Source organism: Homo sapiens, chromosome 11 (genome assembly GCF_000001405.40).
Source record: "Homo sapiens chromosome 11, GRCh38.p14 Primary Assembly".
Lineage (NCBI taxonomy): Eukaryota > Metazoa > Chordata > Mammalia > Primates > Hominidae > Homo > Homo sapiens.
The window spans coordinates 61614132-61640389 of NC_000011.10; the positions used below are offsets into that span (position 1 = coordinate 61614132).

General features: G+C 50.8%; 1 pseudogene across 1 annotated transcript, besides 6 other annotated features; it reads left to right on the forward strand.

Annotated features, from left to right (window-relative positions):
* Positions 1 to 904: 904 nt before the first annotated feature.
* On the forward strand, positions 905 to 25318 carry RPLP0P2 (ribosomal protein lateral stalk subunit P0 pseudogene 2; annotated as a pseudogene). The gene is made up of 5 exons (NR_002775.2): positions 905 to 997; positions 10854 to 10996; positions 14711 to 14908; positions 21998 to 22223; positions 22454 to 25318. The product of NR_002775.2 is annotated as a ribosomal protein lateral stalk subunit P0 pseudogene 2 (transcript).
* Positions 12033 to 12595: an enhancer, noted in NCBI's record as "H3K27ac-H3K4me1 hESC enhancer chr11:61393636-61394198 (GRCh37/hg19 assembly coordinates)". NCBI's record gives its function as "activates a minimal SCP1, AML or CMV promoter by ChIP-STARR-seq in naive and primed H9 embryonic stem cells {active_cell/tissue: H9 hESC(naive and primed)}" and the evidence as "EXISTENCE:reporter gene assay evidence [ECO:0000049][PMID:30033119]".
* Positions 12596 to 13156: an enhancer, noted in NCBI's record as "H3K27ac-H3K4me1 hESC enhancer chr11:61394199-61394759 (GRCh37/hg19 assembly coordinates)". NCBI's record gives its function as "activates a minimal SCP1, AML or CMV promoter by ChIP-STARR-seq in naive and primed H9 embryonic stem cells {active_cell/tissue: H9 hESC(naive and primed)}" and the evidence as "EXISTENCE:reporter gene assay evidence [ECO:0000049][PMID:30033119]".
* Positions 14026 to 14320: a silencer, noted in NCBI's record as "tiled region #3465; K562 Repressive non-DNase unmatched - State 12:CtcfO". NCBI's record gives its function as "represses a minimal TATA promoter and a strong SV40 promoter by Sharpr-MPRA in K562 cells {active_cell/tissue: K562}" and the evidence as "EXISTENCE:reporter gene assay evidence [ECO:0000049][PMID:27701403]".
* Positions 14512 to 15493: an enhancer, noted in NCBI's record as "H3K27ac-H3K4me1 hESC enhancer chr11:61396115-61397096 (GRCh37/hg19 assembly coordinates)". NCBI's record gives its function as "activates a minimal SCP1, AML or CMV promoter by ChIP-STARR-seq in primed H9 embryonic stem cells {active_cell/tissue: H9 hESC(primed)}" and the evidence as "EXISTENCE:reporter gene assay evidence [ECO:0000049][PMID:30033119]".
* Positions 24464 to 24964: an enhancer, noted in NCBI's record as "H3K4me1 hESC enhancer chr11:61406067-61406567 (GRCh37/hg19 assembly coordinates)". NCBI's record gives its function as "activates a minimal SCP1, AML or CMV promoter by ChIP-STARR-seq in primed H9 embryonic stem cells {active_cell/tissue: H9 hESC(primed)}" and the evidence as "EXISTENCE:reporter gene assay evidence [ECO:0000049][PMID:30033119]".
* Positions 25004 to 25531: an enhancer, noted in NCBI's record as "H3K27ac hESC enhancer chr11:61406607-61407134 (GRCh37/hg19 assembly coordinates)". NCBI's record gives its function as "activates a minimal SCP1, AML or CMV promoter by ChIP-STARR-seq in primed H9 embryonic stem cells {active_cell/tissue: H9 hESC(primed)}" and the evidence as "EXISTENCE:reporter gene assay evidence [ECO:0000049][PMID:30033119]".

Here is a 26258-nt window from a genome sequence, read left to right on the forward strand (position 1 = left end):
GTTGTTGGGGCCAGCTGGTAGGCAGGTGGATAAGCGAGAGAAGACAGTAGGGTCAGGGGCCCAAAGAGGCAATTCTCATGAGCATTCATCCATTGGGATGTGTGACGCATGGAAGGGCTGTACTTTCCTTCAGTCCCACTGGCAGACCAGGGGAAGAGGCACCCTTGCCCTCAGCTCAGCACTGGCCCCCCTGCAAGGACAGCCCTGAACACCCACTCCTGTGCCTGGCACCATCCAGGTCCCGGGGGACTGCTTCTCCTCTTCTCTTGCTCTAGGTCCTGGATACGAAAGGTGATCTAAGTCTGGAATGTATGAAGGTTTAGGGGTTGTGCAGCTGCTGACCTGAGAGACAGATTCTGCTTCTGAGGACAGGGCAGACTTGAGAGGCAGCAGTGCTTATGTGTGAGAAAAGCCTAAGATGAACTTGTTAAATTTTCACTCTCAGAGAGCACGAATGCAGTAGATTATTGCAAACCGAAGCCTTTTCTCGGCAGGGTCAACTGTCCATTTTCTTGCTTTTCTTCATGTACCAATTCTTGGTTCCAGAGGTTCTTGTGGATTAATGCAATATCCACAATGACGCCTATAGCAGCTGAGGAACTTTTGCAATGTTTAAACTGTTCATTTCCTCTGATATTTATATATATAAATTTAGATATAACATGCATGAAGTGTGATACTGATTATTTACAGTAGGAACTAGATGGGTGTTTGATGTGGTTTGGCTGTGTTCCTACCCAAATCTCATCTTGAATTGTATTCCCATAATTCCCACGTGTTGTGGGAAGAACCCGGTGGGAGAGAATTGAATCATGTGGATGGTTTCTCCCATACTGCTCTCGTGGTAATGAGTAAGTCTCACGAGATCTGATGGTTTCATAAGGGGAAACCCATTTCACTTGCTCTCATTCTCTCTCTCTTGTCTTGTCTACCGCCATGTAAGACGTGTCTTTCACCTTCTGCCATGATTGTGAGGCCTCCCCAGCCACATGGAACTGTAAGTCCAATAAACCTCTTTGTTTTGTAAATTGCCCAATCTTGGGTATGTCTTTATTAGCAGTGTGAAAACAAATCAGTATAGTGTTAAACACTGGAATTGCTAATATGTCATTTTTCTAAAAATGTTTAATAAAATGTTATTACAATTTCAAAAGATTAATAAAAATTCAGATTTAATATATTTTTAAAATTATTATTTTTTTTTAGAGATAAGGTCTCACTCTGTAGCCCAGGCTAGAGTGTAGTGGCACGATCATGGGTCGCTGCAGCCTTGAATTCTTGGGCTTAAGTGATTCTCCCACCTCAGCCTCCTGAGTAGCTGGGATCACAAGTGTGCGACACCATGTCTGCCTAATTTTTAAACTTTTTGTGGAGATAAGGTCTTGCTATGTGGCCCAAGCAGTCTAGAATGCCTGACCTCAAGCAAACCTCCCACCTTGGCCTCCCAAAGCACTGGGATTATAGGTGTGAGCCACCATGCCCAGCCCCAGATTTAATTTAAAATGTTACACTAGGCTGGGTGCAGTGGCTCACACTTGTAATCCCGCACTTTGGGAGGCCAAGGCGGGCAAATAACTTGAGGCCAGGAGTTCAAGACCAGCCTGGCTAACATGGTGAAACCCTGTCTTTGCAAAAACTACAAAAATTATCTGGGCACGGTGGCATGTGCCTGTAATCCTAGCTACTTGGGAGGCTGAGGCGTGAGAATTGCTTGAGCCTGGGAGGTGGAGGTTGCAGTGAGCAAAGATCACACCATTGCACTCCAGCCTCAGTGACAGAGCAAGACTCTCTCTCAAAAAACAGTTACACTCATTATAATTTGTATTTTACCTTTTAATTTCAATAAATAATTTTGGATATTTTAGAAAAAAATACCTTTTTAAAAAGCATTTAAAATTTTACCTTTACTATAATTTTCCTTTTGGACAAAAACTATATTTTATTTCTTTAATCTTTTTGGATGGGTATTGTCACTAAAACACAAATTAGCAATTTTGGTGAAATAAAGGCCTGAACATTTTTATGGATTAAAACGATAAGAATTTGTGAATTATGTATGTCTTTATTTGATCACTTGTCTAAACACAGCCGGCCCTTCAACAGAATACCCAAACACACCAGCTTTCAAGCATATAAAAACCAGAGCTTTACACATGCTTTTCAACTGTGCCACTATGAATGTATATTTGTCAAGGTAAGAGAAGAGAACATATTTTATTTAACAGCTTGTTCGCTTGATTTTGAAATATTTAGGCATATGGTATGTGGGTCTTCATTTGTGTTCTTGCAAATATTAGAGACAAGTCTGGGAGTTTTTTTAATAACAGCTTTATTGATATATATGTATATATAATTCACATGTAATTTATGGGAGCCTTAGCTCCCCCTTCTGAAGTATATGCTTCAGTGGTTTTTAACATATTCACAAAGTCATGCATTCATCACTAGTATCTATTTCAGAACATTTACATCACCCCCAAAAGAAACCCCGCACCCAATAGCAGTCACTCCCCATTCCCTCCCACACCCAAGCCCTGAAAATTACTCATTTCCTTTCTGTTCCTATGAATTTGTTGATTCTGGACATTTCATATCAATGGAATTATATCAAATGTGTCTGGCTTCTTTCACTTAGAATAAGGCTTTTAAGGTTCGTTCATCTTGTAGCATGTATCAGTACTTCATTCCTTTTTATTGCCAAGTAATATTGCACTGTATGGATATATCCATCAGTTGATGGACATTTAACTTGTTTCCATTTTGCCGGGGGCAGTGGTTCATGCCTGTAATCCCAGCACTTTGGGAGGCCAAGGCGGGTGGATCACCTGAGGTCAGGAGTTGGAGACCAGCCTGACCAACATGGTGAAACCCGTGTCTACTAAAAATACAAAAATTAGCCAGGTGTGGTGGCACATGCTTGTAGTCCCAGCTGCTCAGGAGGCTGAAGCAGGAGAATCTCTTGAACCCAGGAGGCAGAGGTTGCAGTGAGCCCAGATCCAGCCTATGAACATTCAGATTCATAGGAGCACTATTTTCTGTGGGCTTATGTTTTCAGATATCTTAGGTATATACCTAAGAGTGGAACTGCTGGATCATATGGTAATTCATGTTTAACTTTTTTTTTTTGAGATGGAGTCTCACTCTGTTGCCCAGGCTGGAGTGCAGTGGCGCTATCTCGGCTTACTGCAAGCTCCGCCTCCCAGGTTCATGCCATTCTCCTGCCTCAGCCTCCCAAGTAGCTGGGACTACAGGTGCCCGCCACCACGCCCGGCTAATTTTTTGTATTTTTAGTACAGACGGGGTTTCACTGTGTTAGCCAGATGGTCTCGATCTCCTGACCTCGTGATCCGCCCGCCTCGGCCTCCCAAAGTGCTGGGATTACAGGCGTGAGCCACCGCACCCAGCCCATGTTTAACTTTTTGAGGAACTGCCAGATTGTTTTCTACTGCACTGCTGTGCGTTCCCAGCACAGTGCACAAGGGTTCCAATTTCTTCGCATCCTTTCCAGCACTTGTTATTGTCTTTCTTTTTTATTGTAGCCCATCCTAGTGGTGGGAAGGGGTATCTCATTGTGATGTTGATTTGCATTTCCCCCATGACTAATGATGCTGAGCATCTCTTGTGTGCTTATGGGCCATTTGTATATCTGCTTTGGATAAATGCCTATTCAAATCCTTTGCCCATTTTTAATGGGGTGATTCAGGTCTGGGTGTTTTCTTTTTTTTTTTTTTTTTGAGACAGGGTATCTGTTGGCTAGGCTGGAATGCAGTGGCACAATCTTGGCTCACTGCAACCTCCACCTCCAGGGTTCAAGCGATTCTCCTACCTCAGCCTCCTGAGTAGCTAGTATCAGAGATGCCTGCCACCATGACCTGATGATTTTTGTTTTTTGTTTGTTTGTTTGTTTTTGGAGACGGAGTCTTGTTCTGTCACCCATGCTGGAGTGCAGTGGTGCCATCTCAACTCACTGCAACCTCCGCCTCTGGAATTCAAACGATTCTCCTGCCTCAGCCTCCCAAGTAGCTGGGACTACAGGTACACACCATCGTGCCCAGATAATTTTTGTATTTTTAGTAGAGATGAGGTTTCACCATGTTGGCCAGGCTGGTTTGGAACTCCTGACCTCGGTGATTCACCCACCTCAGCCTCCGAAAGTGTTGGGATTACAGGCGTGGCCCATGGCGCCTTGCCTTAATTTTTGTATTTTTAGTAGAGATGGGGTTTTACCATGTTGGCTGGTCTCAAACTCCTGACCTGAAGTGATCCACCCGCCCCAGCCTCCCAAAGTGCTGGGATTACAGGCATAAGCCACCATGCTCAGGCTTCAGGTCTCGTTTTGATAGAGGGATAAAGCAACAATTGTGAAGGCTCCAACACAGTAGCCTTGTGCTTGCTTTGACATCAGACTGTGCACTTTGAGGTGGGCAGAATTACCTTTTAGTCTTTACAGAAGCAGTGTCTGCCACCTACAATGACTTCTCTTCTCATCTCTTCAGCACAGCCTTCTTTAAACCTTCTTTATAATCCTTCTCTGATCGCAGAGTGATAGCCGACCATGTTGCAGTGGGCCAGAGTTAGCTGTACCCTGCAGCTAAGCACACGGGCTCCGGAGCCAGCCTGCCTGGTTCAGATCCTGGCTCCCCCAAGTCTCAGCTGTGCAACCTGGGAGGCTAACTCTTCAGTTTCCTCCTTTGTAAAATGGGAATGATAACACCTTCCTTATAGCGTTGTCGCAAGGGCTTGCTGAGAACATACGTGTAAATCCTGTTGCATCTTGTGCCTGATCGATGCTTGCTAGATTTCCTTTTGCGCAGAGCATTTCCAATGGCAGGGGTCACTACTTTCAGGGCAGACTTTCCATTTATGAATGGTGTTAATTGAAGGAAGCCCTTGGGGTGTTTGGCTGAAAATTGTCTCACTGTGATTCAGGCAGCCATCAGGTCTGTGGAGGAGCTGTAGGTTTCCCCCACCTCCGGCTCCAACTGTCCATCATTCCTCCCCTCTCCTCCCCTCTATCACCCACGCCTCCTTGCTCCTTTCCAAATGGCGTGTGACTTCTCAGGGGATGTGAGAGGCGGCTGGAAAGTGACACCACACCCCTTAATTACCCTTGTTCTTTCTATGCCCCAGCACCTAAATTTAGCCAGCAGACCTGGGCACTGGGGACCCAGCTCCTCCCTCCCCAAGGCCCCACCCTCTCAAAGGCAGGAAAAGAGCCCCCAGGCACGACTTCTCACCATCCTGGGGGTGGAGGCCTCAGGGAAGTTGCTGAAAGGCCGGGCGAGGGCACTGGGCTCCAGCAGGGACCCTTCCTGCTGCAGCAGGCAGCTGGGCTGTGAGCTGTGATGGAGCAGAATGTCACCTGCCCACCCCCTGCCCTTTTTAATGATGGTGAAGCCTGAGAGGGAGGGTCGGTCAAAGTGTCCAGAATGTTAGGGGCATGAGCTCGAGAATCTGACAGACACCCTCTCTGACACATGCCAACTGTGTGACCTTGGGGAAGTCACCAGACTTCTCTGGACATGCTTCCTCATCTGAGAAATGGAGACCTCTCAAGTAAGGTGACTGTGACATTTAAATGAGATAATACATGTAAAGCATGCAGCACCAAGCAAGCACCAATCAGCTCAGCCACATCCATTATCAAAGTTGCTTGACCTGTTAGTGCAGTGGGGACCCAAGCCTCTGGACTCAGTGCTCATGCCAGGAAGTCACACTCCTTCATCAATGACTTGATGCCTCTGTTCCAGATGGGGACATTGAGGCAAAGACAGGTTAATTACCAGGACCAAGGTTACCCAGCTAGGTGGCAGCAAGGCTGAGATCTGATCCCAGGTCTGCAGGCATTCGTTGCCTTTCATGAATTGTTTTGGCCAAAAGGCCCCACCTCTTCCAAACCCGTCTCAAGGTCCACCACCTCCAGGAAGCCCTCCTGGCTGTCTCCAGGGCAGATCTCTCCAACCTCCCGGGCTGCAGAATGTCTATTCCAGACCATAACCTCCTCCCCAGCTCCTGGACAAGTTCTAGAAGGGAGGGCTTGCTTTTTACCTCTGTGAGTCTCTGAGGTTCCATGACGGAGTCCATAGGCATGAAAAATCACTCACTGATCTTTTTTTTTTTTTTTGAGATGGAGTCTCGCTCTGTTGCCCAGGCTGGAGTACAGTGGCACGAGCTTGGCTCACTGCAACCTCCACCTCCCAGGTTCAAGCAATCCTCCCACCTCAGCCTCCCCAGAAGCTGGGATTACAGGCATGCCACCATGTCCAGCTAATTTTTGTATTTTCAGTAGAGACAGGGTTTTGCCATGTTGGCCAGGCTGGTCTTGAACTCCTGACCTCAAGTGATCTGCCCGCCTCGGCCTCCCAAAGTGCTGGGATTACAGGGGTGAGCTTTCAGATACATAGAGAAAGGGAGAGCCAGCAAGTGGGAACAGAAAAGTTAGCTGGGATGGAAAATTAGACCTGGAAGGAAGGAAAGTGTGCATGGCTGGCTCTGTACCTGAGATGGGAGACAGTGGCTTCATCCCAGAGTGGGGATGCCAGGGATGTCCTGGTGAGGAATGGGGCCGCTCCAGGATCAGTCAGGCCTGGAATTGATACCGCCATGTCTGGGTCTCTGGGCCTTAGTCCCTCGTCTGCAGAATGGGGCAGTAAATGCCAGCCTCCTGGAGGTAGGTAGAGGGAGGCTTGAATGAGATGACCGAATGGGGACCAGCGTGCCCCACCCTGTGCCCTGCACAGTCAGCAGCCTCCAGCTTGGAGGGAGCTGGACAGAGCCTGAACCTCTCTGGTCACCTGAGGCAGCCACTCGGGCCCCTCTGCTTCGAGGGCTCTTCGGAGAGAGGAGCCTACGAGGAAGTTATGATGTGGCTTTACCACCCTCCCCCTCTTGGTCACACTGGAGTTCCAGGGCACAACCCCTTAGGGACACCAGCGGGGGTGGCCTGTGGCAGCCCCAACCTTCCCGCACCCAGCCCCTAGTCCACAGTGCCACCAATGCCAGGCTGTCATCAGGGCTCACCAGGCACACATGATCTCACTTAAACCTCCCAGGCAGGTGCTTGCGTCTTCCCATGCCACAAGTGAGGAAACAAAGAAACAGAGGGTTAAGGAACCTTCCAACAGTGCAGAGCTCAGATTCAGACTCAGGCAGTCTGGCCCCAAAGTCTGCACTCAAAACCACTACACTCCTCCACCTCCCTAAACAGGATGAGACCCTCTTCCCGGTGGGCTGGAGTGATTAGACAACTTTACAGGGGTGCGGAGTAATACTTCAAGGTGTGTGCTAGAGAGAGCATGTCTGGGGTGGCATTTCAGAAGTTAATTCCTCACTAGTTCTCTTCCCTGAGGGGGCTCACTGAGTTTGAGTTTATCTCTTGAAATACTGTAACAATCCAGGCACAGTGGCTCATGCCTGTAATCCCTGCACTTTGGGAGGCCAAGACAGGCGGATCACCTGAGGTTAGGAGTTCAAGACCAGCCTAGCCAACATGATGAAACCCTATCTCTACTAAAAATACAAAAAAATTAGCCAGATGTGGTGGTGGGCACCTGTAATCCCAGCTACCCGGGAGGCAGAGGCTGTAGTAAGCTGAGATTGTGCCACTGCACTCCAGCCTGGGCGACAGAGCGAGACTCCATCTCAAAAAAAAAAAAAAAAAAGAAATACTTTAACAATAATACTAACACTGATACTAATACTAACAGCTATCTTCTCTGAGCAGGTTTTATGCGCCACTCACCATCCTGAACTTTGACATGTGTTAATTCGTTTAATACTCATAACAGCCCTAGGAGGAAGGTATTATGAATTTTCTTGTTATCCAGATGAGGAAACTGAGGCTCAGAGAGGTCAAGTCACTGGGCAGCTCCCAGAGCTGGTGGTGGAGTCAAGATCAAACCCAGGCGGTTCTGGGTCCAATCATTCATTTGTCCCATGCTCTCTTAACCTCAAACTTGCCGCCTTTTCCTGCCTTGCCCGTGTGAATGTCCCCTCCCCCCAGGGTGTTGGAAAGTGAGTCCCACCAGGTATGGGGCAGGACCAGGAGGGACCTTACCAGCAACCGGGGTAAGGAGGAATGACCAAGGCATTCCAGCCCCAGCATGGGGGGGTAGGGTGTGGGCTTGGCCTTTGCAGTGTCAGGGATCTGGGCGGCCCCTCCTAGCTCACCTGCAGATCTCCCTCCGCAGGCAGGACTCCCATACCCTGGGAACACCACAAGCCGCTCCTGAAGGCAAACAGAAGACTCAGAGACAGAACAGCAGAGCCTGAGCCATAAGGTAGAGGGGAACATTTCCCAGCCACCTCCTGTTTTCAACACTGCTGGCCCTGGATCCAGTAAGTGGCATGACCATGCAGAGTGGTGCTTGGGCCCCTAACAACTGCTCCCTCAGTTCTGCACAGAGAAGGCTGTTCCCAGAAAGGGCTCCATTAAATCCTTAGCCAAGAGCCACATCTCCTCTGTTTCTGTCTCAGCCAAGGGGAGAGGGCACATGTTCAGTCCACTCCTAGGGTGCTGATCTTGTGGGGGCAGATGGTAGTGTCTTCAGTGAATGGCAGCTTCTTGTTCTTGTGTAGTTATCGTGGCCAAGATAAGACCACACAACCATGTGTTTTGGGAAAGGAGACAAAGAAGCGACCCAGGAATGCCAAAGGGGTCAAATAAAGTTTCTGGGGCTTCCGTGAGCCCATGGCTCTTGGGGCCCTGAGTCATGGGGTCCAGAAAACCAGGCCTGTCTGGATGGGGGGCCTGGCATGGGAATCACGTTCTCATAGGATGTTGCTTGTGATCTGCAACAAACACAGTGCATTTTCAAGCATCTTCCCGTATTGGGGCTGAGATAATGATATTCCAAAGTATGGTGCTGTGGCATGCTGAGTACTTTGAGCTAAAGGAGACTGGAAGGTCTCAGAAGCAGCCTCAGAAGCAGTATCTCTCTCTCTCTCTGACCTGTCCCCACTTTTCTCCCCCAAGGCAGCCATAGAAATGAGAATTCCTCTTCCGTAAGGTAGGTCATAGAAAGTAGAAATATTGGGAGCCGGATGTGGTGGCTCATGCCTGTAATCCCGGTACTTTGGGAAGCCGAGGCGGGTGGATGACGTGAGGTCAGGAGTTTGAGACCAGCCTGGCCACAGTGAAATCTGTGTCTACTAAAAATACAAAACTTAGCCAGATGTGGTGGCGTGTGCCTGTAGTCCCAGCTACTCAGGAGGCTGAAGCAGGAGAATCTCTTGAACCCAGGAGGCAGAGGTTGCAGTGAGCTGAGATCCAGCCTGACGTGAGGTCAGGAGTTTGAGACCAGCCTGGCTAACATGGTGAAGCTCCGTCTCTACTAAAAATACAAAAATTAGCCAGGCATGGTGGCGCACGCCTGCAGTCCCAGCTACTTGGGAGGCTGAGGTAGGAGAATCGCTTGAACCCAGGAGGTGAAGTTTGCAGTGAGCTGATATTGTGCCATTTCACTCCAGACTGGGTGACAGAGATTCTGTTTCAAGAAAAAAAAAAAAAGAAGAAGAAAAGAAAATAGAACTATTACTCTTACCTTCCCCTGCTTTTCTGTGTAGCAGCTGGCCATAAGGAAATTCTCTGACTCCACTTGGTCTGATAGTAGGCCGTAAGACCCTCGCTCCAGCGGGGTCCTGCTCCATACCCAGAAATAAGGAATATGGCAGACAGGCCAAGAAGAATGTACACACACAGGCCTCGCTGGGTTCCTTCCCTTGGCCTATTACCTTTAGGTCATACTCTTTTGTTCCAATCACTTTTTTTTTTTTTTTGAGACGGAGTCTCGCTCTGTCACCCAGGCTGGAGTGCAGTGGCGCAATCTCGGCTCACTGCAAGCTCCGCCTCCCGGGTTCACGCCATTCTCCTGCCTCAGCCTCTCCGAGTAGCTGGGACTACAGGTGCTCACCACCGCACCTAGCTAATTTTTTGTATTTTTAGTAGAGGTGGGGTTGCACCGTGGTCTCGATCCCCTGACCTCGTGATCCGTCTGCCTCGGCCTCCCAAAGTGCTGGGATTACAAGTGTGAGCCACCGCGCCCGGCCTCCAATCACTTTTTTCTTTAGATGGAGTTTCACTCTGTTGCCCAGGCTGGAGTGCAGTGGTGAGATCTCGGCTCACTACAACCTCCAACTCCTGGGTTCAAGTGATTTTTGTGCCTCAGCCTCTCAAATAGCTAGGATTACAGGTGCCCACCACCAAGTACAGATAATTTTTATATTTTTAGTAGAGATGGGGTTTGACCATGTTGGCCAGGCTGGTCTCGAACTCCTGATCTCAAGTAATCCACCCACCTTGGCCTCCCAAAGTGCTGGGATTACAGGTGTGAGCCACTGTGCCCAGCTGGTCCAATCACATTCCTATATGACTGTCCATTCTTCATCGAACCTTTGCATAAAAAGGTACTGTACAGTCTGGGTATTCATTTCTTTTCCTTTTTCTTTTTTTTGGTTTGTTTGTTTTGAGACACAGTCTTGCTCTGTTGCCCAGGCTGAATGAAGTGCAGTGGCATGATCTCAGCTCACTGCAACCTCCACCTCCTGAGTTCAAGCAATTCTAATGTCTCAAGCCTCTCGAGTAGCTGGAACTACAGGTGTGCACCACCATGCCCAGGTAATTTTTTGTATTTTTAGTAGAGACAGAGTTTCACCATGTTGGCCAGGCTGATCTTGAACTCCTGACCTCAAGTGATCCACCCACCTCGGCCTCGTAAAGTGTTGGGGTTATAGGCATGAGCCACCACGCCTGGCCTGGGTCTTCATTTCCAAAGGCCCCCATGTCATGTAAAACTTTGATTAAATACATTTGTTATGCTCTTCTCTTGTTAACTTCTCTCTGTCTTTTGGTATAGGAGTGTCAGCCGTGACCCTTATGATGGATGAGAAGAGGTATCATGCCTTTTCCACCCCTACACCTGGAAGGAAGGTTCTGCAGCAAGTTCATGAGAGACGATATGTGGAATGTAATCAGAGCATACCTCTTAATACTTAAAAGGTAAGGCCAGGCGCAGTGGCTCACGCCTGTAATCCGAGCACTTTGGGAGGCCGAGGTGGGCGGATCACGAGGTCAGGAAATTGACACCAGCCTGGCTAACATGGTGAAACCCTGTCTCTACTAAAAATACAAAAAATTAGCCGGGCGTGGTGGTGGGTGCCTGTAGTCCCAGCTGCTCAGGAGGCTGAGGCAGGAGAATCAGTTGAACCCAGGAGGCAGAGGTTGGAGAGAGCTGAGATCGTGCCACTGTACTCCAGCCTGGGCGACAGAGCAAGACTCCATCTCAAAAAAAAAAAAAAAAAAAAAAAGACGTATAAAATTCTGAGGTTCTTCTTTCGAGGCTAATTCCTTTCCTGTATGTGCTTAGGTTATGTTCATCTGAAGGAAAACTTAAGAAACTGTGTGGTAAACTATAATATAGAAGTTTATTTTTCTCTCGAGTAAACAATATTTGGAGGTTCTGGTCCAGGGCTGGTGTGGCAGCTCCACAAACATCAGAAACCCAGATCACTTCCTTCTTGTGGCTTGGTCATCCTTAACATGGGGCTTCTACCTCATGATCCAAGATAGCTGCTCCTGCTCGAGCAATCACATGCATATTCCTTTCCAGCAGAAAGGGAGAAGAGGTAACAGGGTGCAACCTGCTGCCTCTGAGTGGCACTTCTTCTTACAACTTATACACATGGCCATACCTGGCTGTAAGGGAGGCTGGGAAATGTAGCTTGTATTTCAGGGGGTTGTTTGCCCAGCAAAAATCAGGGGTTCCGTGGCAAAGAAGACAGAACAGATGTTGGGGAATAGTTATAGTCTCTGGCACACCATGGTATTCCTCCATTCCACGGGGAAAGATGGCCATGTACTTTCTGGTACTCTGCTCCAGGTGACCTTGTTCTTGTATGTTACATGTTCTTGTGTGTTACTCTTTTTTTTTTTGAGATGGGATCTTGCTCTGTTGCCCAGGCTGGAGTTCAGTGGCACAATCTCAGCTCACTGCAACCTCCGCCTCCCAGGTTCAAGCGATTCTTTTGCCTCAGCCTCCCGAGTAGCTGGGATTAGAGGTGTGCACCACCACGCCCAGCTAATTTTTGTATTTTTAGTAAAGACAGGGTTTCACCATGTTAGCCAGGCTGGTCTCGAACCCCTGACCTCAAGTGACCACCTGCCTCAACCTCCCCAAGTGCTGGGATTATAAGGCGTGAGCCATTGCACCCGGCCTTGTGTGTTACTCTTTTTTTTTTTTATTATACTTTAAGTTTTAGGGTACATGTGCACATTGTGCAGGTTAGTTACATATGTATACATGTGCCATGCTGGTGCGCTGCACCCACTAACTCGTCATCTAGCATTAGGTATATCTCCCGATGCTATCCCTCCCCCCTCCCCCCATTGTGTGTTACTCTTAACTCCTCACCACAAAACCAGAACGGCCCTGAGACCAAGACTCAGGTCTCCAGAACAAAGCCCTTAGCCTGACATTCAGGGCCCTTGGCCACTGGGTCTCAGGAACTGCCGCAGTCCCTTGCAGCCTGTGTCCAGCCTCTCAGAGCCACCTGCCTGCTCCATTCCTTGCTTCCCCAGACTGTTCCTTCTGCCTGAATGGCCCTCCTGGACCTCCAATGCCAGGGGCACTCCTATCCAACCTCGAAGAGATTGCTCTGTCAGTGCAGCCTTGCAGGGCCTCGCTGGGGGAGAATCAGAATTCCTTTCTCCTGCCCTCCCTTGGGCTTCCGGAGCCTTCCGTCATCCTCTATTTATAGTTCAAGTCAGGTGCCCCTGGACATGTTGCTGGGAGGGAAGGGCCTCAGCTGGGAGAGCCGGTTCTGTGACCTGCTGGGGAAGGGCTGGGATTTTCCAGGATGCCTCCTCTAGCCCTATAGTCCCCTTGGCTACCTCTGTCTACGGGGAAATGGAGCCCCCTACCTGGACAGCCTTAATCCGGTGCACCTGGTGGCTGCTTGTCTCCTTGGCTTTGCTGTGAGCCCTGGGGCCTGGGGATGGGCTTCTCTCCAGCCCTGGGCCTGCTCCTGCCTCTGCTGTGGTGAGGTGACCTGAGTAACGGGTTGGGTTAGGTGGTCTCTATGTTGGTAGGGGTCTCAGTAGGGTCAGGCTTGCTCTAGGAGAGAGTCACAGTTGCTAGAGTTGAGTATAGAGGGCAGGAACCAGCTGTAACTTTGCAAAGCTCTGTCCTGGGATGCTCGGCTTCCCTCCTGTTGTCCTCCACCTTCCAGAAAGCCCAGCAGGGAGAGATGAGCACTGTGTCCCCAAACTCAATGTCACTGTCACCTCCCCTCACCCAGCCCAGCCACTCCCCGTCAGCTCCAGACCAACTCGGAATACTCGGGAAGGTTGATCCTTCGACTTCCTCAAGCCATTGCTCAACATCCCCCAATCACAGCCTCCCCAACTCCCATCTCCAAAGGCCTCCTTCCTCCCCAGATCCCCGGCTGTCACCATCCTCATTCTTCTAACAAGCTGACAAACTTGAATTCTGAGCGAGCATGACCTGGGGTCTTGGGCCTGAGCCGCAGCCCTCTGCCTCCACCCCATCCCCCACTTACATGCCCACTTTCAGATACAGACACGGACCCTGATGCCAAGGACATCCACTGGCTGAATGCCTCCTCCTGCCCTTTCACGAGCTCCCATGCCTGGCCCTGACTACCTGCACGCAGCCCTGGACCCTCAAGTGACTGTAGGAACCCCCTCTACGAGACTCAGCCCTTTTGCCACCAGTGGGACTTGCAGGCCCAGCTGACCAGCACCTTCTTGCCTGCTGTGGGCCATGTGACCGACGGAATCCCACCACATCTGCCGTGAGCCTCGCCTGAATCAGGACCAAGTTTAGGTTTTCAGAATCAGACGGACGTGACTATGTGACCTGGGGCAAGTGACTAACCCTCTCTGAGCCTCTGACATTTATAGCTGACTCCAATCTGATACATGGGCTCCCCAGGGGCCTGAGGAGGGAAGGTTTGAAACCTCACTCTTCCCTCCCTTGCCCTTGGAAGGTGAGAGCAGGAGGCTCCTTCATGGAGGTGGCTAGGATGGGGAGGGAGGACCAGGAAGCTTCCTGACCTTGCCCCAGGAGCTGGCAGCCCCCAGTCCCACCTTGTCCAGAGATCACTCAGGGGAAACCACTCTGGCTGAGGGATTCAGGTGCTGGTGCCAACTAGGAGAAGCAGTCTAGGGCGCCTCCCAGTGGACACCAAGGGAACGTCTATTCTGGCTGGCCCTTGGTCCAGCCCTGTGATTTTAGCCCTTGGCATGCAGTCAGGCTCCAGTACTGACCCCAGCACCAGCAGTGGCAAATTGCACCTCATTTGAGGAATCTCAGTTTCCTCTTCCACAAAACGGAAATAATGATAACATCACCACACAAGACCACAGTGAGGCTTCCTTCGGACGACCCAGGCGACCCGCCTTCCACACTAATGTTTTCCAGGTCTAGAGAGGCCAGGGCTTGCCTGGGGACCACAGTGAGATGTGGTGAGGAGCCAGGGGTTCAGGCTCTCAGGCTCCTGGTCCACTGCTCTTTCCACTGCTGGGAGGTGCCTCAATGTAACCTTGGACTCTCCAGGCCTATTAACTCCTCCGTGTAGCTCTGGAAGTTTTCAGATGTTTTAGTGCTATTAACATGCCTGTCCCAGGAACAAGCTTACAAATGCATCCAATTAACCTTCTGCCAACAATTCTGGGACGTGATTTCTTTTCCAGCCTTTGCAGGGAGATCTCTCTTCCCATCTCCTTCCTGGAAGACAGAAGCCTTGTGCGAGCCCCTTGTGTGATGTCACCCCAGCTAGGGCCACCGGACGTTGGTCCTCAGCAGGGAGACTTTGGGTCCTCCACCAGGACCCAGGGCTGACCTGCATGGCCAGGCCCCATGGCCTGGGTAGAACCTTGTTTCTGCTCCAGGTAAGGAATTGCAGGGGTGAGGGTGTGTGGAGGAAAGGGGCCTCCACAGTGGGGAAGGGGGCTACAGAGGGAATCCCAGCCCCAGCCCCAGCCCCAGAGGACCCATTTATTTGCTCTCTAACTGTGGTGAAGGGGCCCTTTCTGAAATGCAAGCAGCTCCCGAGTTCCTCTACGGCAGTGTCGGGCTGGTGCTGGGCATTGAGCGGGGCAGGAGAGGAATTCAGCCACGCCAGGTGCTGTGGCTGTGCCGCGGGCTATTTTCACGTAGGCCGTGTGTTCCTCCGGAGGTGGCTGGCCGTGGGGCTCCTGGAATTGTGGGCTGGAGCCCTCCTGCTCCCTCTGGCTGGGTCTCTATTGCTGTAGCCCCTAGAATCACCTCTTACAGCCTTGAAAGGCCCAGGGGGACTTGACTCTGAGGCTAGGAACCCTCGGGTGGGAGGGACGTGTTCATAAACACATGCACACTGTGCCATACTAGCTTTTAGACAGACAAAGACAGAGACTGGGTGACCACATGACCTTCAGGACTCACACAACAACACACACACACACACACAAGGGTGAGGGCAAAGGAGAAGCGCCCAGGCAGGCCCTGGGGGAGGGGGGCGGAGAGCCAAGGGTATGAACTGTGAACAATTAGTGGGAGCCATAGGGCCCCTGGGGGAGCAGAGAAGGAACATGTCCCCCTTCCCGACCGGATGGCCTTGCCCAAGGCCCCCACCAAGCAGTGGGGGGTGGGGCAGGGGGTGGGGAGTGAGGACAAGGGCCTGAAGCTGGTAACCTGCCCCTGGGCGAGATGGCTCTGGGAGGCGATGGAGACGCTCACCCCCTCCCTGCTTCCCAGCTGAACTGGACTTTCACAGTCTCTCTGCTCTTTCCTCACCGCCTCTTCCCACCCTCACCTTTCCCTCTTCTCCCAGCTCACCTAGCCCCTGCCCGCACTGAGGGGGACATAGCCCCCAACACCTCCTTGGCTTTGCAGATGCTATCCCCCTTGCCTGGAATCCCCCTGCTGCCACCGCCTTTTGCCTTCACCCCACTCTCCTGACAAACACCAGCTCACTTGCAAGGCCCAGCTCAACGCCTCTTTCTCTGAGAAGGCTTCCCACCACCTCTCTCCTCCTGGCAGAATTCATCTGTGTTCCCCAGTGCTCCCGGGGCCCTTGCACAGACCTCTGCGGCTCCAAAGGCTTCCTGCTGTAATACTCTGTGCACACAGCTGAATCCCTGACTCCACTCTGCTGAGAAGGTTGTGCTTTTTTCTATTTTGTACCGAGGGCAACGGGAGGCCATGGAACAGTTTCAAAGGAGCTATGCAACAGGATTAAATTTGTGCTTTGAAAGATCACCGGGGCAGCCGCGTGGCAGACGAAGGCAGGGAGAGGACAGAGGCAGGGAGAGGACGGAGGCAGGGAGAGGGTACAGGAGGCTTCTGTCATTGTCCAGAATGGAGTCTCAGCCGTGGAGACGGAGGTGGAGGTGGGAGAGGTGGAAGGATTCCAGAGATATTTGGAGGAAAGCTTCCCCCTGGCCAGTGGTCCCCAAGCCTGGCTGTGCACCCAAATTCCCCGGGCAGATTTTAAAAAAATAGGTTTCTGGGGTCTACTCAAGATGCCCTTAAACGGGATCTCAGGGGCTAGAGCCAGAATCTGTTTTTTTGTTTTGTTTTGTTTTGTTTTGTTTTGTTTAGATGGAGTCTCACTCTGTCCCCCAGCCTGGAGTGCAGTGACGTGATCTCGGCTCACTGCAACCTCCACCTCCTGGGTTCAAGTGATTCTCCTGCCTCAGCCTCCCGAGTAGCTGGGATTACAGTTATCTGCCACTACGCCCAGCTAACTTTTTGTATTTTTTGTAGAGATGGGATTTTGCCGTGTTGGCCAGGTTTTTCTTGAACTCCTGACCTGGTGATTCACTTGCCTCAGACTCCCAAAGTGCTGGGATCACAGGTGTGAGCCACCGTGCCTGGCCCAGGATCTTTTTTTTTTTTTTTGATTATCATTACGAGGCCGGGCATGGTGGCTCATGCCTGTAATCCAGCACTTTGGGAGACTGAGGCGGGTGGATCACCTGAGGCCCGGAGTTCAAGACCAGCCTGGCTAAAATGGTGAAACCCTGTCTCTACTAAAAATACAAAAATTAGCCGGGTGTGGTGGCACGCGCCTGTAATCCCAGCTACTCGGGAGGCTGAGGCTTGAACCTGGGAGACGGAGGCTGCAGTGAGTTGAGAGCCACTGGGTCACTGGACTCCAGCCTGGGTGACAGAGCAAGACTCTGTCTATCATTATGGTAAAGAAAAAACATATAACATAAAATTTATCATCTTAGCCATCTTTAAGTGGATAGTTCAGTATTGTTAAGTATATTCACGCCATTGTAAAGCAGACATCCAGAACTTTTTCATCTTGGAAATCTGAAACTCTATACCCATTAAACAACAATTTTCCATTCTCCCTCCCAGCCAGCCCCTGGCAACCAGCATTCTACTTCTGTTTCTATGGATTTGACTGCTTTAGATACTTCATATAAGGGAGTCTACAGGATCTGTCTTTTTGTGACTCAGAATCGGTAATTTTAAAAAATTCAGTCATCACAGTGGCTCCTGCCTGTAATCCCAGCACTTTGGGAGGCCGAGGCAGGCGGATCACTTGAGGTTAGGAGTTCAAGACCAGCCTGGCCAACATGGTTAAACCCCGTCTCTACTAAAAATACAAAAATTAGCAGGGCGCAGAGGTTCCAGTGAGCCAAGATTGTGCCACTGCACTCCAGCCTGGGTGACAGACTGAGACTCCATCTCAAAAAACAAACAAACAAACCAAAAAAAAAAAAAACCCAAAAAACGAATCCTCAAGTACTTCTGATGCAGCTGGTGTGTGGTCTGCAGTTTGGGAACCGCCATCCGTGTGGCTCAAGCTGAAAGGTACCCTCTGCCTGTCTCTTTGCTATTAGGAGCAAAATCAGATCCTAGCACCCCCAGAACGTGGGGTGGGGGTTCCTTTTGACCTCTGGGGAGAATTTTCTCCTAGACAGGCTCTCTCTCAAAGTCTGCTAGTCAGATCCGGTAGTAACTCCACACCCCACATTATTATTAATTTTCATGACCTACATTTATATCATGTTTTAGATGCTGCTACTCAAAGCGTGGTCTCGCATTCCTTGGAGCTGATTAGAAATGCAGGGTCTCGGGCCACCCCCACGGTTGAATCTGAATCAGCGCATTAAGAAATTCCTCGGGGAATTCATGTGCGCGGTGCAGTGCAGCGTGGGAGCACAGCTTCAGGGTTTACAGAGTGGCATCTGGCGGGAGTTGGGGGAGGGAAGCCTGACCCCAGAGCCCGGCAGGAGAGGTAGCTGAGAGGCTGGGAGGCAGCCCAGGCTGATGTGAGCCTGGTTTTGTCTCTCTCATCCCACTGCCACAGTTCCCATTAAATGAAGCTGTCCCCATGGACCTGTCAATGGCCTCTTGGTGGCTTAGTCCCTGGACCTCACTCAATAAGCAGCCCTCCCAGGCCTCAGCCACCAATTCCCAGGGCCACCTGGCTATTGTGCTTGGCTTTCTTATTCCATGGCTTGTCCTGACACAGACCCTTCTGGCAGGGCACTTGCTCTCATGACGTCCCAGCAATCCCATCCGTTTGCACTTGTTGTAACGGCTTATTGGGCACTTACTAAGTGCCAGGGACTGAGAAAAGGACTCCACAGGCACCAGGCCATTTGGTCCTCACAAAACCCCATGAGGATGCTGCAGGGATTATCTGCATTTGGCAGACAAGGAAACCAAGGCTCAGAAAAGTGAAATAACTTGTACAAGCTACCATAATTAATAAGTGCTCAAGGTGGGATTTGAACTCTTGTCGGTCTGCCGGGCCTGAGTTCTTAACTAGAATGCCTCCATTTTTGCTGTGTTTTTATGGAGAACACTGAAGTTCAGTTTTGCAACCTGCGCAAGGTCATATGGCTGTTAAGTGCTGGGCCTGGGACTTGAACTCAGGGTGTTGTATTCCCAAACCTCAAATTCTTAACTGCTGGACTGGTTTCTTTATCCCAGGGGTCCCCAGCTCCCAGGTTGCAGACTGGTACTGGTCTGTGGCCTGTAAGGAACTGAGCCACACGGCATGGGGTGAGCGGAGGGCAAGCGAGAGAAGCTTCATCTGTATTTACAGCCTCTCCCCATCACTCTCATTACTGCTTGAGTGCCGCCTCCTGTTAGATCAGCAGCAGCATTAGATTCTCATAGGGGCACGAACCCTACTGTGAACTGCGCATGTAAGGGATCTAGATTATGCACTTTTTTTTTTTTTTTTTTTTTGAGATGGAGTTTCGCTCCTGTTGCCCAGGCTGGAGTGCAATGGTGCGTTCTTGGCTCACCACAACCTCCGTTTCTTGGGTTCAAGTAATTCTCCTGCCTCAGCCTCCCGAGAAGCTGGGATTACAGGCACTCACCACCACGTCTGGCTAATTTTGTGTTTTTTTTAGTAGAGATGGTGTTTCTCTATGTTGGTCAGGCTGGTCTCAAACTCCTGACCTCAGGTGATCCACCCACCTCAGCCTCCCAAAGTGCTGAGATTACAGGCGTGAGCCATCGCTCCTGGCCTTATGCACTCCTTATACAGGTCCCTGATGCCAAAAAGTTTGGGGAACGCTGCTTTACCCCATGTTACAGATTTGGGAGCTGAGACAGAGATGCTGAGCAAGTCAGCCTGGGTGTGTGAGGGTCTCCTAGTGCTATTCTGTCCACTCCAATTCCAGCTGCCTGGGCTCACTCTGGCATCAACCATCTCTGTCTGGGCTACCTCAGCAATAACCAGCATTGGGGGCTGAGTACCCCCACCCTGTGGGAGGCTGAGGCAGGATGATCCTTTGAGTCTAGGAGTTCAAGATCAGTATGGGCAACGTAGCAAGACCTCGTCTCTACAAAAAATACAAAAATTAGCCAGGCGTAGTGATGCGTACCTGTGGTCCCAGCTACTTGGGAGGCTGAGGTGGGAGGACGGCCTGAGTCTGGGTGGTTGAGGCTGCAGTAAGCCGTGATGGTGCTACTGCACTGCGCGACAGAATGAGACCCTGTCTCAATAAATAAATAAATGAAACCAGCTTTGATGAACCAGAGTTCCTGGAGCCACACCTGTAGCATAGAATGCTCAGGAGCAGGCCAGGCACAGTGGCTCACGCCTGTAATCCCAACACTTTGGGAGGCTGAGGCAGGCAGATCATGAGGTTAGGAGTTCGAGACCTGCCTGGCCAATATAGTGAAACCCCATCTCTACTAAAAATACAAAAATTAGCCAGGCATGGTGGCATGTGCCTGTAGTCCCAGCTACTCGGGAGGCTGAGGCAGGAGAATCACTTGAACTCAGGAGGCAGAGGTGGCAGTGAGCCGAAGATTGTGCCACTACACTCCGGCCTGGGTGACAGAGCGAGAATCCACCTCAAAAAAAAAAAAAAAAAAAAAAAAAAAAAAAAAGAATGCTTGGGAGCTCAGCACAGTGGGGAGAAATGGAGACTGACACCTCTTGGCCCCACGGCTCCGTGCCCCATGTAGGAAGCCAATTGCACACCTGGGCACAGGAAGTGGTGAAGTGCAGCAACTGCTGGCAGATCAGGAGGTGGTGGAAATGGGAACTGACAGTGTGGGTGGAGCTTCTCACCCCCCTAGGCACTGCCAGGTGCCCACCACAGCTGGGATGGTGGCTAGGGCAGGATGAGGGCTGCAGAGCCCCTGGGGTGGCCCTTGGCCAGCTGGGCAGGGAGGGGAGGGTCTGTGGGCTCCTCACTAGCTCTGCAACTGCAGGGGAGTTAACCTCCCCAGACTTCATGCCTCATCTATAATGTGCCCCATCTATAATTTTTTTTTTGAGGCAGAGTCTTGCTCTGTTGCCCAGGCTATAGTGCAGTGGTACAATCTCGGCTCACTGCAACCTCCGCCTCCTGGGTTCAAGTGATTCTCCTGCCTCAGCCTCCCGAGTAGCTGGGATTACAGGTACCCGCCACCACGCCCAGCTAATTTTTGTATTTTTAATAGAGACAGGGTTTCCCCATGTTGGCCAGGGCTGGTCTTGAATTCCTGACCTCAGGTGATCCACCTGCCTCAGCCTCCCAAAGTGCTGTGATCACAGGCATGAGCCATGGTGCCTGGCTTACAATGGCTTCTGGTACTGCTGAAAGCCTCCAGAGAGTCACATATCTAAAGTGCCTAGCACCCAGTTCACATTATCACCTGGGCTGGCCAAATCTAAGAGAGGCAATTTACACCGGGCTTCTGTGAGGGACAGGTGAATTATACAGTATATAGGAAAAATATGCAGTGCTGGCTATACAGCAAGCTGTATGTCAGTAACAGGTATTATTATTATTAGGAACAGGGACAGCTACATACTTTGCAGAGCCCAGTGCAAAATGAACATGTGGGGCCCTTGCTCACACATCATGAAGAATTTCAAGGTGTTGACAGCAGAGCATTAAATCAAGCTCTAGCCCTTTGGAGTGTAGGGCCCTCTGCAGCTGCAAAGGCTGCACAACCATGAAGCTGGCTGGGACTGTGACACAGGACACCAGAATCTTTATAATGGGCTCAGCTCTCTGTCCTTGGGAGGGTTGCCTCTCTGTTCAATGCTGGCGATGAGTGAGGCTTTGGGTTCCATACCTCCCCTGGTCTCCAGATTATTCTAGGAGAACCCCTTGTTACCTAGGAACTCCTAATAGCTGCTGCTTGGCCCAGCCCCAGATTCATGTCTGGAATAAGAGAACAGGATCCTTGAGTGTGAGGGCAGAAGACCCTTTGAGATCATCCCCTTCCCACCCCAAAATGGTGAGGACCTGCCAAGGACATGTGGGACCCAGTGATGAGGCAGAACAAAGATCCAGCCTCTGACTCCCAGCCTGGGAGCCCCATCTGGAAGAAGCAGCTTAGGCCTGATGAGGACGCCGGGGCTCCATGGCAGGAGGAGGGTGTGCTGGGGAGGAGGGGTGTGGGGAGGACAGTGCCACACCTGTCAGCCTGGGCTGTCCCTGGAGGAGGGGAGGGAGGAGTTTTTGTTCTCTTGGCTTCTCTGTGCTTTTTTGCAGTGGCACAAATTGCTTTTGTAATAACAGGAAAAAACGATCAACGAACCTTCATTTAAGAAAAAGCACAGCGTTCTCATGGGAACCAAGAAGACAAGCCCTTAATGCAAAGTGTATTCAGAGAGAAGAAAACAAGAAAAGCAGAGACGATTGGATTACAGCAATTGCTCTTATAACTCCTCTCCGCCCACCCCCTCGATGAGAAGCTGGTTTGAAGGACTGAGTATCAAATCCCTACTGAGCTCTGAGGTTCCAGGTGTGGATGGAGTGTGGGGCCCATGTGTGTGTCAGTGTGTGTGGGTGTGATTGTGTGAGCAACTGGGTGTGTGAGGTTCAGGCCCAGTCGGCTTGTCCAGACGCCAGGCCTGAGATGCCCTGGGGGTGCTAAGAGGGGTAGAGAGAAGCCAAAGGAACACAGGCTTTGAAACGAGGCAGAATTGAGTTGGAGTCCCAACCCCACCAACCTCACCTCTCTTCACTCTTCAGGCAGCGTAGAAAACAATGCCTGCCTTTTGCCAGGCATCCTCATGGAAGTGACATCGTCTTTAAACCTGTGTGGCAATCCCTGACGCACCACCGTGATGCCCAGGGAAGACAGGGTGACCTGGAAACCCAACTACTTCCTTAAGATCATCCAGCTATTGGATGATTATCTGAAATGTTTCATCGTGGGAGCAGACAATGTGAACTCCAAGCAGATGCAGCAGATCCGCATGTCCCTCTGCGGCAAGGCCGTGGTGCTGATGGGCAAGAACGCCATGACGCGCAAGGCCATCCGAGGGCACCTGGAAAACAGCCCAGCTCTGGAGAAACTGCTGCCTCGCATCTGGGAGAATGTGGGCTTTGTGTTCACCAAGGAGGACCTCACTGAGATCAGGGACCTGCTGCTGGCCAATAAGGTGCCAGCTGCCACCCGTGCTGGTGCCATTACCCCATGTGAAGTCACTGTGCCAGCCCAGAATACTGGTCTGGACCCCGAGAAGACCTCCTTTTTCCAGGCTTTAGGTATCATCACTAAAATCTCCAGGGGCGCCATTGAAATCCTGAGTGATGCGCAGCTGATCAAGACGGGAGACAAAGTGGGAGCCAGTGAAGCCACGCTGCTGACCATGCTCAACATCTCCCCCTTCTCCTCTGGGCTGGTCATCCAGCAGGTGTTCGACAACGGCAGCATCTACAACCCTGAAGTGCTTGACATCACAGAGGAAACTCTGTATTCTCGCTTCCTGGAGGGTGTCCGCAATGTTGCCGGTGTCTGTCCGCAGATCCACTACCCAACTGTTGCATCAGTGCCCCATTCTATCATCGACGGGTACAAACGAGTCCTGGCCTTGTCTGTGGAGACTGATGACAACTTCCTGCTTGCTGAAAAGGTCAAGGCCTTCTTGGCTGATCCATCTGCCTTTGTGGCTGCAGCCCCTGTGGCTGCTGCCACCACAGCTGCTCCTGCTGCTGCTGCTGCAGCCCCAGCTAAGGATGAAGCCAAGGAAGAGTCGGAGGGAGGAGTCAGACGAGGATATGGGATTGGGTCTCTTTGACTAATCACCAAAAAGCAACCAACTTAGCCAGCTTTATTTGCAAAACAAGGAAATAAAGGCTTACTTCTTTAAAAAAAAAAAAAGAAAAGAAAAAAAGAAGAAAGAAAGAAACAAAGAAAGAAAGAAAGAGAAAGAAAGAAAAGAAAAAAAAAATAAAACAACACTTGCTCCCACGGTTGTGACAGTGGGGTTTAAAGAAAACCAGCAGGCGCCGGGCACGGTGGCTCACGCCTGTAATCCCAGCACTTTGGGAGGCTGAGGCGGGCGGACCACGAGGTCAGGAGATCGAGACCATCCTGGCTAGCACTGTGAAACCCCATCTGTACTAAAAATACAAAAAATTAGCCGGGCGTGGTGGCGGGCATCTGTAGTCCCAGCTGCTCGGGAGGCTCAGGCAGGAGAATGGCATGAACCCAGGAGGCAGAGCTTGTAGTGAGCCGAGATCGCGCCACTGCACTCCAGCCTGGGTGACTGAGCCAGACTCCGTCTCAAAAAAAAAAAAAAAAAAGAAAAAAGAAAAAGAAAAAGAAAAGGAGTAGGCAGAAAGAGCACACAGTAGGTGTTCAACCAGCGTGAAGCTCCCAGCCCCTGACAGTCCACGACAGCCTCAGAGCAGGCAGAAGGAGCACACAGTAGGTGTTCAGCCAGCGTGAAGCCCCCAGCCCCTGACAGGCTACGACAGCCTCAGAGCAGGCAGAAGGAGCACACAGTAGGCATCCAGCCCACATGAAGCAGGCCCCCAGCCCCTGACAGGCCATGACAGCCTGAGGCAGGACCACATGGTGATCTCTAACCTGACCCCAGGGGAGGACAGGAGGGAGGACGGATAGCACCCTGGGAGGCCAGGGCCTGGCGTCCCACCCTGTCACCCTCGTGCCCAGTGTCCAGGGGCTCCGAGTTAGCCATGGCCTGGCGCGTAGCCTTAGGAGAGACCCTCCAGCCATTCGGTGGAGCGTGGAGACCCCTCGTGGCCACACGGAGGACTGCAGCTCTCAGCGTGTGACCTCTCGCCAGCATCGGGGCTGCTCTGCATGTAGCCCTGGGAGAGCTCTGCAAACATTGCTTGAGCTCCTTTTTATTTTATTTTTATTTCTTGAGACAGGATCTCACTCTCACCCAGGCTGGAGTGCAGTGGCACAATCTCAGCTCACCGCAACCTCCGCCTCCAGAGTTCAAGCGATTCTCCTGCCTCAGCCTCCTGAGTAGCTGGGATTACAGATGTGCGCCGCCACGCCCGGCTAACTTTTGTATTTTTAGTAGAGACGGGTTTTTGCCATGTTGGCCAGGCTGGTCTCAAACTCCTGGCCTCAAGTGATCCACTCGCCTCGGCCTCCCAAAGTGCTGGGATTACAGGCGTGAGCCACCGCACCCGGCTGCTTGAGCTCCTTTAAAGGTGCCACGATTTATGCTTGGTGTTATGGACAAAGAAAGGAAGTGATTCCCATCCCAGAGAATCTACCACCGGGAGAGTTACAGAGGCTGGGCCGCCCTATATCTACCTCCCACCCCTGTATACATCCATATAGAAGAGAACTCAGGGTTCAATCAGGGGACCTAGAGCAAGACACCCATTTTCCCATGCCTTGCTCCCCATATTGGCCTTATGGGCGTGGTACCCTGTAAAGTACCTGGAATAGTCCAGAGCTCAAAAATTCTTATGATTATTAAAGGTATAAAAGGACAGGTAAATTGAGGCCAAGTGCAGTGGCTTATACCTGCAATCCCAGCACTTTGGGAGGCCAAGGTAGGAAGATGGATTGATCCCAGGAGTTCAAGACCAGCCTGGGCAACATAGTGAGACCCCCATCTCTATAAAAAATTAAAATTAAAAAATTAGCTGGGTGTGGTGGCACCCACCTATAGGAGGCTGAGGCGGGAGAATTGCCTGAGCCCAGGAGTTCTGAGGCTACAGTGAGCTAGGATCCCGTCACTGAACTCCAGCCTGCATGACAGAGTGAGGCCCTCTCTCAAAAAGGTGGTGGAGGCAGGTAAATTGGGTCAGAGTCATGCTCCCTTGCTCCCCTCCAAGCAGTAGAAATTGCTAATAAAATGCTTAAAACAAGGATCATGATGTGCCAGACACTAGGAGAAGCCCTTTGCATGTAGTACCTCATCTGATCCCTGAGGAGCAGGTACTATTAGCCTGTATGAGGAAGCTGATGCCCAGAGAGGTTTAGGCGATTAGGCTAAAGTGGTAGATTCGGAATTTGAACCCAGGCCCACATGGCTCCAGAGCCCAAGCTTTGGTGCACAAAGCAATGAGTCTGCCTAGCAGCGTCAGAGATGTTTGAACCAGAGCAACTCCATCTTGAATAGAGGCTGGGTAAAATGAGGCTGAGACCCACTGGGCTTCATTCCCAGGAGGTGAGGCATTCTTAGTCACAGGATGAGCTAGGTCGGCACACGGTACAGGTCACAAAGACCTTGCTGATAAAACAAGAGGCAGTACAGAAGCCAGCCAAATCCCACCAAAACCAAGATGGCGACGAAAGTGACCTCTGGTCAGCCTCACTGCTCACTATATGCTAATTATAATGCATTAGCATACTAAAAGACACTCCTACCAGCGCCATCACAATTTACAAATGCCATGGCAACATTAGGAATTTACCCTATATGGTCTAAAAGTGGGAGGAACCCTCAGTTCCAGGAATTGCCCACCCCTTTCTGGGAAAACTCATGAATAACTCACTGCTTGTTTAGCATATAAGCAAGAAATAACCAAAACACTAGCCAACCAGCAGCCCTCTGCC